This window comes from Homo sapiens, chromosome 4 (assembly GCF_000001405.40).
Source record: "Homo sapiens chromosome 4, GRCh38.p14 Primary Assembly".
Classification (NCBI taxonomy): Eukaryota; Metazoa; Chordata; class Mammalia; order Primates; family Hominidae; genus Homo; species Homo sapiens.
Genome location: NC_000004.12, coordinates 87,084,400 through 87,101,191, shown reverse-complemented (window position 1 = coordinate 87,101,191; position 16,792 = coordinate 87,084,400). Strand labels below are relative to the sequence as shown.

Below are 16,792 nucleotides of genomic sequence, written 5' to 3'. Positions count from 1 at the left end.
ACGAAGCAGGCTAAACGAAGAAGAGATGAAAAAGTGAAAAGGTAGATCTCCAGCAGTTGTGACACAACATATAATAGGAAATCTCCAAATGGTGACAATAGTTAGAAGGCAGAATTCAAGTTCATGGGAAACTTTCCACAGGAATTATGGGGTAACAAGATAGAGGGGAAACTGACTCTACATGATTAACTCTAGTGAAAGAGGTTAATGGTTGATATGATAAAAATGGTGCTGGAGTTATAAAAGATTATTTAAACTCCATGGACGAAGTGAAGATTATCTGATGTCAAATAAGGAAATGAGAAAAATCACAAGAGTGTAAATGAGGGAAAATCTGAAGTTAAATCAGTAGATTAAATCAGTAAGTATGACAAGGTAAAAGAATGATATACTTTTAACAGAAACAAAATCTAAAATATTACTCTAAACCATGTCTATTAAATACTGTATATAGGTATTCAATCAAGTTTATCGTGTAGAATCTTTCCTTCTGCATTTATTCTGAGCACTTACTATGTGCCAGGCACTGCTCTAGACCCTATGGCTACAACTCTGAGCCGAAAAATATCCCCGCTAGTCTAGAGGAGGAAGACAACTAAAATACACCATTTCTCAATGGGTAACAAGCTTGTGGAGGGAAAAGGATAAAAGAGAAAGGATGGCTAGAGGTCACTCTTTTATACAGGGTAGTTAGGGAAAACTACTGATAAAGGCCACCCCAGGTCACAGCTGAAAGGAGGGAGAGAGCACAATGCAAGTCTTGTGGGGAGAGTCATCACAACACCAAAAAGAGCAGGGAGGCCAAGCCTGCCAGAATGGAAAATGGACATGTGTGTCAGGGACAGGCCGTGGTAGGGGATAGGTTATGGAGGTTCTTGGAGGCCCTTGCTAGGAGGCAGGAATGTTAATATGCTTGTGAAAGTGGACCACACCTTGTTGGTTTAACAGCCCAGCATCCCACAGAGAGGGTAAAATACACTAACTACCCTTAAGGCTAAGATTCCTAGCAAATTAAAATATATTTTATTCAATCTTTCAATCTACGTTTAAATTAGCCTAGGGTCACTTATTGTAGTAAATTAGCAGTTATGATGTAAAATGACACTTAAAGGGACCCTTAAGGGCTCCCCAAATCCAGGTTTTATATATGCAAATGAGCTCTTTCAAAGTAATCACTTAAAAAAAGACTCCCTCAGGTTTTCAAAAGCTTTCAAAGCCTACAGCATAATCTGTCAAGCCCCTTTCAAGGTGGCAAATAGTCTCTGCCTTTCTCTTATCAAATGTCACCCTCTCTGGGAGACCTTTCTGGACCCCTCTTTTCCCTGAAGTGTAACTACTATCCAAAGAATTCCTCTCAACCCTGTCACTGTCACATCCCTTGCTCTGTATTATATGCCACCTACAGTTTGTTACAAAATATTTTGTCTTATTGACCACAGTTTCTCCAAGTACCTAAAGCAGCACCAAGCACACAGCATGTGGGGGCCGGGCACAGTGGCTCACGCCTGTAATCCAAGCACTTTGGGAGGCCAAGGTGGGCAGACTGCCTGAGTCCAGGAGTTCAAGACAAGCCTGGGCCAAACGGCGAAACCCCGTCTCTACTAAAAATACAAAAATTAGCCAGGTATGGTGGTGTGTGCCTATAGTCCCAGCTACTCGAGAGGCTAAGGTGGGAGGATTGCTTGAACCCAGAAGGTGGAGGTTGCAGTAACCGAGGTCACCCCACTGCACTCCAGCCTGGGTGACAGAATGAGACCCTGTCTCAAAAAAGGAAAATAAAAAGTGAGATCAACACTTAGTGAAAAACATTTTAATAAATGTTCTATGATGGTGAAGGCTTAATGCAGATCTACAAATGTACAAATAACCAGCACAAATGTTTGTTCCTTGTTTTTGGGAAGCGGAAGAACTGTGAATAAGGGATGTAGATATTACTTCAATGTCAAGTTCTAAGCTTTACACATGGGGCAGATTTCTACCACTTCCATAATATTTATCAGCAAATTGTACTCTCAGTTAGACCTGCCATTGAAATATCCAGGTTCAAACGGTATAAGCTAATATTTGAAAACAAGGAAAAATTTAATTTCCTTAGGCTAAGCATGATTTAAATATGCTACAAGTAAAGCATGTCTTTGGACTTAATTCTAGAACATTTCAGCTGACACTACTTACATCCTGATGTGACAATTTTATATTACAATAAACAGAATGAGTCTTCCCTTGCTCTTTACCAAAATATTTAAAAGCCAACAATGTTTTGAGTAAAAGTTGAAAACTCGGGCTCATTTGAAAAGGTATCAGACTCACCCCAGTCTTTACTAACTTGGCAACAGTCTTTCTCATCCAACTCGAGGGACAATCCCAATCTCAGCCTTCACATCCAGATATCTCCCTCACTTCAAAAGAAACCTTCCACATAAGTAATAAATATTTCAAATTGCTATAATGACTAATTTCTGTCTCTTATTTTAAGTAAGTGTTGATTTCAGAGGCCAAAAACAAGAAAAATAATGGAGGGCACCTTTTTGTAAGGACTTGGCAATTTTGGGGTAGGGGAAGAAACAAGTTAGCTAGAATATACAAATAAATTGCTTTTTTAGTTTCTAAAATATTAACATTTTTGTCCTCTTTCAGAGGCTGACAAATGCACTGACACCAGTAAACTAAATCTGGCTGCACAGAAAAAGAATTGTCCACAATTATATGAAGGTCACAGTTACTGTACAGAAAAAGGAAATACTTTATACTTTGTCCTCAGCACTTCACAGATCTAAGCCTTGGAAAGGAAGAGGATTCCAAAACCAAGAGCCCTTAAACAAATACACTCTCTCTTAAACTTAGGGGCAAATTGCACTAACATCCTAGCTAATCAGTTACCTACAGAACTTTACAGAAGGAATTATTTGAGAAATAACTACATCTCAAACTACATGCTGAACCATTACATTTAATTTCACAACTACATCCTTCTACCACGTTGCTACCCCCTAACCATATCTGAGTTAATACAGACCACTCGCAAGCTTATCCTTTACTACTGGGCCTCTCTTTTATACTCTTATATGTCCTATTCCACTTGTCTAAGGATTCCCAAGTCCTCATAACTCTGAAAGAAAAAGCATTAAGACCTAGATTGGTTTTTTAAATCAAAGTGTAAATGACCCTGCAATTAATAATTTTTTTCTGATATTCAAAATGCATTAGAATATCTCCCCAGCACTCTATGTGCCACTCAAATAGCTTAACTGCATGTCAAAGAAGCCTAATGCTGACAATAGATCAAATCAACCCGCGAGCACTAAGAGATTTGCCACACAAAATCTGAAACAACTGCAATTTGCCAATTAATTTGGGACACCACTTTCTTCTAATCTCCATTAAAAGTGAGTTCATAAAAGTCATTCCTTTTTCCCAAGGATACATTTCATTCTGGCACTTATCAATACCACCACGTCTACCCCCCACATAATCACCAAGTCCACACAACCCTCATTATCTACTCGGCCTCAGTATCACTTCTCTTCTGTGTTACTCTTACCTCTCCTCCCTTCCACTAGGTCCTACTTCTACCTTCTGTAAATCTATTAGGATCATCACAAATATTCTTTCCTAGATAATTTTATATGTACTAAATTAATAGTTTTTATAAAGCAAACACTACGTGTCACAAGATATACTTGTTAGCTACTTTCAGGCACCTCTGATTTGAGTGGTTTAACACTGCTATCAAGAAAACCACTCATTTCACTGAGCAGTGTCATCACAGGAATGGTCTGTCTCTGAAAGTCTGAAAGCTGATGGAAATTGGAGTGGTAGGGTGTGACTTTTGCCTGCTCAGTCTGAGGCTACCTGTCAGGCGTAGATCAGACCCAGCTGCCTTTCTTCCTCTATCCACAGGCGAGAGACACAGTCACTACCCAACTTCGGTGCAATTGCTCCACCCACTCTACTCCTGGGAGAGCTCCTCCCCTCTATGCTTACAGTCAGTTGGGATACCCAGGCTTTAACGTCCCTTCCTGGCTGCCCCAAAGACAATGGTCAGGGCCTTTTATGGTCTACAGGGCTTGACAACCAACCATCACAAAGAAATACCTGGTGTAAAACCCTGGGGAGATTACAGAGCTTCTACAGAATTCTTACAGTTGTGGTCCTTGATCTGCAGATTCTACTCCTTACCAGCCATCAACTGGTTTAACAAACCTCCTCCTTCCTTAAATGTAATCCATGTCAGTGAGTCTACAGTCTTAGAATTTAGCAGCCAGTAAAATTTCCAAAAACATAAAGGAAGTGTGGTGGTGTGTGCTGGTAATCCAGTTACTCAGGAAGCTGCGGCAGGAGGATCACTTGAGCCCAGCAGTTTTAAGACAAGCCTGGGCAACATAGTGAGACCCTGTCTCTAAAAATATGTTAAAACATAAATATGTAAAAATTAAAAAGGAAAAAAAGAAAAGGTGAAAGGCAAAAGGGAAGGGGAGCCGGGCATCATAGTAGCCTGTGCCTGTAGTCCTAGCTACTCAGGAGGCTGAGGTAAAGAATTATTTGAGCCCAGAAGTTTGAGGCTGCAGTGTGCTATTTGGGTTTGTGAAGAGCCACTGCACTCCAACCTAGGCAACAAAGCAACCTTGTCTCCAAAAAGAAAAAGAAAAAGAAAAAAAGAGGCTAAGTGTGGAAGCTCACATCTGTAATCTCAGCACTTTGGGAGGCTGAGGCAGGAGAACTGCTTTAGCCCAGGACTTGGAGACCAGCCTGGGCAACAAAGGGAGACCCCACCTCTACCAAAAAAAAAAAAAAAAAAAAAGCCGGGTGTGTCCCTGTAGTCTGTAGTCCTCTGTACTCCAGCCTGGGTGACAGAGCAAGACCCTGTCTCCAAAAAAAAAAAAAAAAAAAAAAGGGAATAACAAAAGGTAACATTTTACTTTCCCAGCAAAAGGCATTAAAAACAACAAAAACAAAAACCTCATCATCTACCAGTATCACAAATAAAATACATTCTTACCACATGCACAAAACCCATCTTTCAGACCAAAAAAACAAAAACACCTCGTCTTCTTGTTCCTTTTCCCTTCATTTCACAAAGTACATTAAGGAATTGGCACTTGGGAAACAAACACTTAACCCAGACCCACATTTAGTCATGGCGAGGAGATAAAATAACCTCTCCAGCTCAATATATAGTTTTTTAAATAATCCATAGCAATCCCCACCTTCCAAAATACATGGAACAAATATTGTGCCTAAAACTAAAGGAAAGTTGGAGCTTAAACTCCTGGGCCACCTGAAATCCTGAGACTAGCAACACAGAGTTAGTGACAGATCAGATACTGGAGGAAGGCCTCCTCACTTAGTCCCTATGACCAGCTCCTGTCATATGAAAGTAAAGTAGTAAGAGTTCAATACCATCAAGAAATGACAAATTGGGTCAAAATGCCAATTTAAAAATCTTTAATATGCAGTCTAAAACGTTCCCATAACCCAAAATATTTCTGGACTTACTGGCCTTAATAAAGAATAGCTGGGCAATAAGATTAGCTCTTTATTAGTAAATTAGGCCAAAAAAGGGCGGAAAATCTTCAATTGTGCACATCCCCCAAAACTTGTTTCTAACAGCTAAAGCTATTAAAGAATGACATCTTAAAAGCAAAGGCCTTCTATTCCCAGAGTTAAAATGTAAATAATGGCTCAAAAACCCTTTTTCCCCCTCAAGAAGACCTTTTACCAAACTCTCCAATGGTACATAGACCTTCAACAGGGGGACTTAATCCAAATATTAGGCCAGGTGCAGTGGCTTACGCCTGTAATCCCAACACTTTGGGAGGCTGAGGCAGGCGGATCACTTGAGGTCAGGAGTTCGAGACTAGCCTGGCCAATATGGTGAAACCCTCTCTACACTAAAAATACAAAAATTAGTCAGGCATGGTGGTGGGCACCTGTAGTCCCAACTACTCAGGAGGCTGACGCATGAGAATCGCTTGAGCCCGGGAGGCAGAGATTGCAGTGAGCCGAGATCATGCCACTGCACTCCCACCTGGGCAACAGAGTTAAGACCCCATCTCAAACAAACAAGCAAAAAAAATTAATGTGGGCCCTTTCTTCCCTTTAGAATGCAGCAGTCTTATTAATGTCATTACATAAAGGCAGAAAAATCTAAGCAATGCATTGACATGAGACATTACAATTTCATACTACAAAATTTTAATACACAAAAAGCATTTCACTTACGATGACGTTCCTTGCTGAGAATTTGAGTGAGTTTTTGAAGATGTATCATATTGTTCTGTGGGGGAGAGAAACATCAAAGCAGCACAATGACACATATTTACAAGATCCTTAGTTGTGAGTTCTTTTATGTCGGTCCCCAGTTTTTACCTAAACACACTGCACTTGGTACAATCTTAGCATTATAAGATGACATTTATGTTACTTCTAGAGAGAATGCTTGGTTCAGAATCAAAAACCTCTCAATAGGCCAAAAACACTGAAAATCATTGCTTGCAGCATACCCTACCTATGACGCCAGGAACTTACCTACCTGTTGGAAGACCTCCCTGTCCTTGACAGGGGTGGAGGCCCACATGGAAGCACTCTGCCAGGGCTATGCTCCCAGCGCCCTGGGTCCCATGTGACTTTACAAAGATATTAGTGATTTGTTATCACTCTCTTTAGACAGCTCTGTCCTAGGTGCTCTCCATCCCACCTGTCCCTTCATTATTCAACTCCCCACCTGCAATTCATTCATTCAGCAGCTATTTATAGACTACCTCATAGATACCAACATGTTTAAGGCATTTGGCCCTGTCCTCAGAGAGCTCACTGTTGACTGAGGGACATGAAACGGGTCCATAAATATCTATAATCCAAGGCACTGTGAGATTAAGTACACAAGTCAATACATAAATTAACTGCCCTGGGAAATCACAGAATGGTTGCTCTCTTGGTAATACCAAAGGCAGCAAATTAAAGAAAGAACAAAATGAATTGTATCACAAAGGACAGCCAAGATTCTGGCAGAGTGATGCTGGCAAGAGAGAGAGGACAGTGGGAACAAACAAGAAGAAGAGGGTCTGAGTTTGGAAAGGGCAGGGCTGAGGTGCAGAATCTGTGCTGGACAGCACTGAAACAGGCGGAAGCAGATTTCAGAGGGCTCTGAAGGCCAGGATGGGAAGTTATGACTGTATTTGCTGGGCTATGAGACACATCAATGATCTAAACAGGAACATGACACAGTGATTCCTCAGAAGGATTACTCTGGTAGTGCTACCTGGCATAACTTAGAAGGGAGCAGGAAATGTTACGTGTGGAGGCAGCTGCATTTGTCTAGACATGAGGTAATAGGGACCTGAAACAGAATTGGAAGTGAAAAAGAAACATGGGTACCTTTTAGGCAGGGCTGAATGACATTTCCCACAAATGTCATGTGGAGACCCTTGCATATTTGCAATTAGTCACTTTGCCCTCATGGTGGCAGCAGCTCTTATATGATATTTTCAAATGGCCTCCCCTCTGTCTAGAAAGCTAGGACCAAGACTCCAAACGAGAGGGGCAGAGGCCCCTCCTCTTCAGACCATTCACAGGGACTCCACACGATCATCTTGCCTGGGTTCTAAATTCCACAGGGTCTGGGTTTTGCAATTGTGGACATATAACACTAGGGCATCCAAGTAAAATCCCCCTACCTCCCCTCTCCAGAGACTCTAAAACCTATGTACCAGTACCATAAGATCAAGTGTTGAAGAAATCAGAGTTGACTTGCTGGGCATACTTTAAGAAATGTTTGTCTTCTCTTCACTGAAAGCTATATCCATCCATACCCCACCATCCTCTTCATCCTACATGCAACAAACTAGATCCCTCTTTTTCAGGTCACATTCTCACAAAGATAAATAAGGCTGCCGGAATAGCAGAATAAAGTGACAGCAGCATAAAAGATGTGGGGGTAAGCAGCTGGTGAGCCAGGACCTCCAGGAGACCCACCAATGTTGGACAATTTCTCATCAGAGTAACAAGGAATTGACCCACATTACTGCATAGGGCAAGAGGATGATCCATCCCTGGCCAAGAAAGTGCTTATCAGTTCATCTTCAACTATATTTTGCTAAAAGGGGAAATCAAATGGTTTAATGGACTAAAGGTTCTTTCTAAACCATGAGTTAGCAATAAAACAAACCATGAGCAACCCCGTGAAAGACATGCCACCTGCATGACCAGCAACCCAAGCAGACCGAAGGTGGGGGCAGAGTGGTGCATAGCAACCCCACCCACGGCTGAGCTGGTGTTCTGCCTTCAGACCTGTGCACACTCCACTGGTCTGGGCTAGCTGCCAAGATGTGGAGAAAAAAGATTTCCCAATCTTCCCAAGCAGCCATCCATTTCAGTTAATTTTACCTAGCTACTCATACAATACTGTAGCAATATAGTCGGGTTTATTTATCTGCATTTTGGGGAAATTTTAGTTATGACTTCTTTGCAAGATCTTATTCAGTATCTCTACAGCAGGGAACAGCAAATTTTATCTACAGAGGCCAGACAATAAATATTTTAGGTTTTTTGTGCTATACTTTGTAGAATACTAGATAAATGGGTGCAGCTATGTCCCAATAAAACTTTATTTACAAAAACTAGCTGCAGGGCAGATTTAACCCTCAGGCTGAAAAAGAATTACATGGCAAACAAATATAGTGGGGCTAGACAAACTGTATGTCATATTCCTTATAAAAATTTCTTAGTTTTGTTTTTTAAAACACAAGAATGACACACTCCAATCTACTGTTGTATACAATTCCTAGCTGTGAGAGTCACATTTGGTACAGCTACTATGTGTCAGTAATACCACACTGCATTTGTTTAGTATTTCACTAAAACATCTTTATTAACTCTTTGCAACAATCTTATTTTGGTTTTTGTTTGTTTGAGACAGGATCTGTGCTGTCTCCCAGGCTGGAGTGCAGTGCCACAATCTTGGCTCACTGCAACCTCTACTTCCTAGGCTCAAGTGATCCTCCCACCTCAGCCTCCCAAGTAGCTGGGACCACAGGCACATGACTCCAAGCCCAGCTAATTTTTCTAATTTTGTAGAGACAGGGTTTCACCATGTTGCCCAGGCTGGTCTTCAACTCCTAGGCTCAAGCGATCCAACTGCCTTGGACTCCCAAAGTGCTGGGATTACAGGCATGAGCCACTGCGCCTGGTCAACAATTTTAAATCCCACATAAAGAATAGTTTTATATTTGTTCTCCTTTCCTATTCTTTCAACATAGGAAGGCCTCATCTCTGCTGGGGCATTTTTTACTAATGTTTTTACGTTAAACAGTAAAAGCTATGCTTTGTTCTCCAATCCAATAAGCAGTTTCAAATTTACTTACTTTGGTTTTGGGTTACAGAACTGACATGCTGAGAGTCCTAGAAAGAAAATAAAAATATCTAATTATTAAAAGATTAAGGCTTATAAAGTTAAAGAGAAAACCGTTGAGCTTTTAGTATTAAAAGGATAGTCTTATGAAACTTTCAAATATCTAGAAAAATGGAAACAGTGTAGAGAATACCCATACTACCCATCACAGATTCTATAATTATTTCATTATGACTTGCAGCTATCCATCTATTCAAACTTTTTTCATGCATAAGTTGAAAATATTGATTAACCTAATTTTAGCTTTCATTGCTTCTCTTCTTTCCTAGAGTTTATTTTTCCTTTGTTGTTGCACAAAGATATTTTTACAGAGCTTAGTGCTTTAATTTAAAACAAGCAATAATGAGTCACTGTTTTTTTTGTTTTGTTTTTTGTTTTTGAGACGGAGTCTCGCTTTGTTACCCCAGGCTGGAGTGCAGTGGTGCAATCTCGGCTCACTGCAACCTCTGCCTCCCAGGTTCAAGCGATTCTTCTGCCTCAGCCTCTCCAGTAGCTGGGACTACAGGTGCCCGCCACCACACCCAGCTAATTTTTGTATTTTTAGTAGAGACGGTGTTTCACCATGTTGGCCAGGATGGTCTTGATCTCCTGACCTCGTGATCCACCCGCCTCAGCCTCCCAAAGTCCTGGGATTACAAGCATAAGCCACCATGCCCGGTCCATGAGTTACATTTTAAAAATTATTAGAAAATAAGTAAATATATAAAGTAGCAAATTTGAGTTTTTGTAGATAGAACCTTTTTTTTTTTTTTTTTTTTTTTGGTGGTAGAGAGACGGGGTCTCACCGTTGTCTAGGCTGGAGTGTAGTGGCTTAATTACAGCTCACTGCAGCCTCAACCTCCTGGGCTCAAGTGATTCTCCCACCTCAGCCTCCCAAGTAGCTGGGACTACAGGTGCATGCCACCACACCTGGCTAGTTTTTGTATTTTTTTGGAGAGACAAAGTTTTGCCACATTGCCCAGGCTGGTCTTAAACTCCTGGACTCAAGTGATCCACCCACCTCGGCCTCCCAAAGTACTGGGAATACAGGCATGAGCCACCATACCTGGCCTAGAACTACTTTTCACAACAGTATCATGGAAAGGAATAGCTCTCTCACTCTCTCAATATATGTATTATGTATATAAAACAATGAACATGCATATCAGATTGAACAAAACACAGATCTGAAGGTGCTATTTCTACATTTTGAAGGTTATCCAAAAGTATAAATTAAAAAAAAGGAGAATGGCAGTGTTTTAACGCATTGTTCATAAATACTGTAACAGAAACACACAAGTCAGCAGTTTATTTGCTTGTTATTAAACCAGCACTAGTGTAACTGATCACATTAAACTCAAGAAAATGTAGGGAGTGTGAGATATGTAAGATGTATGTGCATATATCTAATTCTGAACGAGAAATCACACACTCAATTTCCCTGCCCCTCTGTTCTCCCATCTCTAAAGTAAGGATCCTCAAATGAGAGAACGTATTGGAAAATCCTGAATGCTTTTTATAAATTATAAAGCTTTATGAAAATCTAGGATGTTCTAAGTTGCAGAATAAATGTTTGAAAGCATTCTGAAGCACTGTAGAAGCTAAATTAATCATAATTTTAACCTCATTTCCAAAGATTTGAACAAGTAATACTTTATCAATCTGCCTCACAGCAATGCCTTACGCTTTTCACTAAGGTGGATGCAATGCCTGCCATACTTTTAAGGAATTACCTTTGTAGGGAAAGGAAACTTGGATGGCTCAGCTGTACTAGGCGTATGTATTGCTGTCAAAGGAGGCGGCCATGAATGGGTCATTTCCTGGAAAGATATTTGGAAAGGGAAGAAAAAGTAAATTATAAATAGAACATTCATTGCTACTTAACATTTTGAACTTAATGTAGAATGGATTGATCATAAATGGCAAGTACAATCTTAAAAGTTATTTCATGTACTTAAAAAAAACAACTCCTATTTCAGTGGGCTATGTTGAAAAGTTAAAGCTCTCCAACATAAAAAACTAAAAAACGCCAGTTTGTAGAAGACAATCAAGGTATAGAACGTGAATGAATTTAACACCCTGAATATTATCAAGCACATAAACTGTACGTAACAGGTACTGCCAGAGCTTGTGGAGCTGTGAAGACTGTAGGTGACAGGTTGGGCTGGAAAAGCAGTCTCTCCTCGATGCATTCTTTCTCCCTCAGCTTCTTTACTGCATTTCCTGGAATTATTTCAGTTCAAAGGAAGAAGAACTTTCCTGTTTGACTTAAGCAAACAAGTAATTCAGGTCACTTGTTCCACTTGGGAGAGTTTTAATGGATTTGACCCTTCCCTGATACACACTATTAGCAAATAAGAACTTTTTTGAAGGAGAGGAGCTTAAAATTACCTTTCTTTTCCATTGAGAAGCTTAATTTTTACAATTTTCTCAGTTGAAGGAAAGATTTCTAAAACTTACAATTGATATATGTATCTTGACATGAATTCTTCTAAACACATTCACAAATTTTTCTAAAAATACTTGTTGAAAACAGGTATGTCAGAAAAAAGATGTGTCAAATTGCAAATACACATACACACACAAACACACTTTTCTAAAAGGCCAAAATGGCATTGGAGACCATTAACTACAACCCCAACATCTACAGATTGAAAAAAACTGAGGTCCAAAATGATTGAGTCAAGGTACCCCAGGAAGTCAAAGGTGGTTCCCACATGTGTCAGACCTGCCCGGCAAACTGGCTTAATACTCGACATGCGGCCGGGCGCAGCAGCTCACACCTGTAATCCCAGCTTTTGGAGGCCAAGGCAGGTGGATCACCTGAGATCGGGAGTTCAAGACCAGCCTGACCAACATGGAAAAACCCCATATCTACTAAAAATACAAAATTAGCTGGGTTTGGGTGTGCATGCCTGTAATCCCAGCTACTCGGGAGGCTGAGGTTGCAGTGAGCCGAGATCGTGCCATTGCACTCCAGCCTGGGCAACAAGAATGAAACTCCGTCTCAAAAATAAATAAATAAATACAAAAATACAAAAATGAGCCGGGCATGGTGGTACATGCCTGTAATCCCAGCTACTTGGCAGGAGAATGGCTTGAACCTGGCAGGTGGAGGTTGCAGTGAGCGGGGATCGCACCATTGCACTCCAGCCTGGGTGACAGGGCGAGACTCCGTCTCAACAACAAAAAAAAAAATTGACATACAACTCTACCAGCAATCTGCGACCCCACAGCATGCTATATTACTCCACCTGTATAACACATGATGTATTCTAACGCCTCATTCTTTTCTAAGTCCTGGCTAACCTATCTCCACAAAAATGCCATTTGATCCTTGCAACAGCTGGAGATGGCACTGTAGCAAGTACTTCCACTTCCAACCTATGTGCAGGTCTCCCGTTGCCCTTCCCCATTGCAGCTCTGTGGGTTACCACAGCCTCAGGAGAGACAGCAGCGACCTCGCACAGTGACGAGTAATGTAAGTGATGCCGGCTTTCTTAATTTTTGTTAAAAGTGAACTCGTGCCCTTGTTTACTGACTGGCCATCTGCTTTGTTCAGGACACAACAGGAGATCTTTCCTAAAATATACTGGAAAGAATAATGGCTATAGCCAAAGACCCAGATTGAATCCTAACTCCAATCCTTACCAGCCATGTCAGCCTAAGTAAGTCATCTGAACCCTAATCCTCAATGCTCACTAAGAGGTAAACTAGAACCACTTATTTTCAAAGTATTGTAAGAGTACTTTATGTACCGTACTGAATGAATACTGCACAGAAGGCACTTAATAAATTAAAAGCATTACAACTTTTAATTAAAAGTCCAGTTTTAAAAGAATTTCAATACTGCACCAAAGAGAGCTTCCTGCTGTTTTATTTACTTGGTAATACTTTAAGGCACAGAACCATTATAATGTTACAACACAAAAACATGTAATAATTAATTGAGAAGGTATCTGAAAACATCACCCTTATGTTTTTCAATAATTTATTTGGAATCTCAATGGTATCTATGACTTTTAGTCACCAAATGCCTAAGGCTGTCCCAGCTATTAAATCAGGCAGTTGGAAAGTACATAAATTCTTTCAAACCCTAAGTGGTTCCCTGGTAGTCTGAAAGGATTTATATACTTCCCTACATGCCTAGCTTACTAGAGGGACTTAAGAGAACTGGGGCCATTATTAAGGAGAAGAGGCTGCTCAGAAAGACTCACAAGGCCATGATTTCACTTCCTACCTTAACAATGACTTGTCACATGAACAGAGACAAATCACTGGGACCTACGTCAGCCCTGGCCCTCCAGGCCCCACAGCTACTGTCTTTTTCTCCTTGCTCATCCTGCTCTGGAGACACTGTCTAGTTCTAATTGTTCCTCTAATACACCAACTTGATACCACCTCGAGGATTTTCCACCAGTTCTTCCCTCTGCCTAGCCTTCTGTTTACTGGCCTGTTGCATTATTCACAGCACCATCAACACCCAACACTATGTATTTCTCTTCCCTACTCTGATCTCCATGAAAGCAAGCACTCTGTCTTATTCACTACAACATCCTAGTGCTGTGGAGGCTTAACAAGTATTTGTTGAATAAACAAATGAACATATAAATAGTGCTACCACTCATTGTACTAGCATCATGGAAATGCTGCACTGAGGTAATGCTTGCTGGTACCACATTAATCCCCCAAGATACTGTGGAGGCCAGGCTTGCCTGTAAGTAGAAAATCTGAGGTGTCTCCATGCACCCACCAAGGGCATGTTGCCCTTTCTAGACCCTAGTGCATGACCATTCCCTGAAAACTAACAGTGTATGTCTGCTATCTTCTTACTCCATTAGCCTGCTGGAGTTATGGGCCACCACTTCCCCTTCATTACAACACTTCCCCCTTAAATACTGACCCCAGAGAACCAAACATTATCTTCTATGATTGATTTTCTCTGTTAGGAAACTACTTACTGCCTCTATCACCCATCAGAAAGATTTGTGTTTGGATTCCTGGCAATCTTAATAAATTGCTGGTACAAGATGAGAACGGGAACCGGGAGGCAAAGGAAAGTAGCATCTGGGTCAGCGTCAAGAGTAAGAGCTGGAATGGACCCTGGAGATCATCCGCTAGCCCAGGGCCTTCATTTTACCAATGAGGAAACCAAAGCCCAGCAGCGACCTATAACTTAACTGAGGTCACAGACAGAAGAGAAGGGGCAGACTCCAATATGAAAAGGCCTATGGCCTGTTCAGTCCTGGACGTCCTTCTGTTTGCTTTCCCAAGTTATGATTTCCAAATCATAAATGGGCATGATTTATACATTAACCACTCTCTCTCAAGCATTTCGAGGTAAGCAAGGATTCACTAACGTGATCCTGGGTGGGAAGGGAAGGAGGACGGATGGGTTCCTTCAATTAAAGATGCTTGTCTGGTGCTGTAATACCACCATTCCTAAATAAAGGATGTGACATGTCTTATTTCAACACACACCGAAACCTAAGAGGAGCATCTGACATATGCAGAAGACAACAAACCTGCACTGTTGCATTTACTTCTGAAATAATGATAGAACAAATAACGCACAATTTCAGAGGAAATGCCAAGGCCACAGTATATAATTAAATTCCTTAGTATGTTTACGACTTACCATACCAACAAATTTCAGAAACAGAAGAGGAAAAGGATGATAAAAAATGTAATCGAGGTAACTTATTTAATCTTACATGCTGGTTGACAAAAATTCCTCACTGTTAGCAGTTCAAAGTATGTTTCTCAGCCAGGTACGGTGGCTCACGCCTGTAATCCCAACACTTTGAGGGGCTGAGGCGGGTGGATCACTTGAGGTCAGGCATTTGAGACCAGCCTGGCCAAGATGGTGAAACACCGTCTCTACTAAAAATACAAAAATTAGCAGGGCGTACTGGCGCACACCTGTAATCCCGGCTACTTGGGTGGCTGAGGCACAAGAATCGCTTGAACCCAGGAGGTGGAGATTGCAGTGGCCAAGGTCACGCCCAGCCTGAGCGACAGAGAGAGACTCTGTCTCAAAAAAAAAAAAAAAGGTATGTTTCTCTAGAGGTTCTTTCTTTCTCAGAAAACCCTAACTACAAAATGGGACAAAAGACTGTGAAACAAAAACAAGCTGTTTTCCAAACAACTGGTTAGATACTACTACTGTCAAAAATTTCACAAGTGAGGAAATAACCAATATACTTAATTACTGGTTTTAGTACCACCATCACTTAATACTTTAAAATGAAAAGTTAAAAAACTAAAATTGAGTAAATGTATTTTGAGAAAATATGAGCAATAGTGATTCAAATTAACAGTCACATTTATTATATACATCTCTCTACTAATTAAAAAAAAAAAAGAAGAAAAAAGTCAGAAACCCTACAGTAAAAGACAAGAATATCATTAAAATTGACCTAGAAGCAAATTAAAGGCCACAGAAGAGGGATAAAAAATACACAAAACCCTCAGTTTTTACAATTACTGTACCTGAGCATTAAAATTAAGCTCTGGGTTTCCTGGAAATTAAAGGCAAAATGGGAAACATTATATATAATTCTTCTCTGATAAAAAGAAAGAATGCCAGTTCATGAGGAAAGTTAACATTTTTCCCCTGGAATTAAGTTCTAGAAGGAATCTGTCATCCTTGTACAAGAAAAATTGAACAAGTGGGTAATGTATTCAATGACATATTTGTGGAAGCACAAATGTTCATGGCATAGTTTCAATAAACAAAAGCAAAAAGTAATCCTTCAAGGTAAGTCTAAAGATGACCATCTACTTCCCACTATTTTTCTTTCATTCCTTTAAAATTTCATCGTCTCACTGAAGAAAAGGCTGTATGTATGAGGCCATAGGTATTAGGTATCACCTACAGAACGCCAAGAGGTATAAATCAAGCACTGTTTAACCACTGGTGCCTCCCACACATCAATACAGGAAGTTTCCTCTCTGGGAAGTGAGCAACTCTCCTGGGCCTTTATGGACAACCAGAAAAACTTAACGAGAGATGCCATAAAAATCTGGTCCAAATGTCTTGCAGTTTGTAGACTTCAATTTAATTAATAAAATCTGGTAGAGAATTCAATTACGTTCCAAGACTACTTCTGTTACTATTCTGGTTTATTTTTGCCTTTGGAGATGAGTGGGGGAGAAATGGTTAAAAGGGGTTTGGGAACAACAACTGTTCTTTATTTTTTATTTATTTATTTATTTATTTATTTATTTATTTATTTATTTATTTATTTATTGGAGACATAGTTTCAACTCTGTTGCCCAGGCTGGAGTGCAGTGGCGTGATCTCAGCTCACAGCAGCCTCCACCTCTCGGGTTCAATCGAGTTCAGGAGGCCTGACTCAGCCTCCTGAGTAGCTGGGACTACAGGCATGTGCCACCACTCCT

At 40.5% G+C, this 16,792-nt stretch overlaps 1 protein-coding gene across 14 annotated transcripts in view; it reads right to left on the bottom strand.

Annotated features, from left to right (window-relative positions):
• AFF1 (ALF transcription elongation factor 1) overlaps positions 1-16,792 on the bottom strand; it is a 206,029-nt gene that overhangs the window by 39,848 nt on the left and 149,389 nt on the right. For 13 of the 14 annotated variants that reach the window (XM_005263007.4, XM_047415702.1, NM_001166693.3 and 10 more), the window contains 3 exons: positions 11,122-11,208; positions 9,363-9,399; positions 6,223-6,277 (listed from right to left, as the gene is read on the bottom strand). In XM_005263007.4, the coding sequence (XP_005263064.1) occupies positions 6,223-6,277; positions 9,363-9,399; positions 11,122-11,208 (179 nt within the window). Of the gene's footprint in view, positions 1-6,222; positions 6,278-9,362; positions 9,400-11,121; positions 11,209-11,501; positions 16,616-16,792 lie in introns of those variants that run through there. The other variant, XM_017008216.2, reaches the window with a different exon arrangement.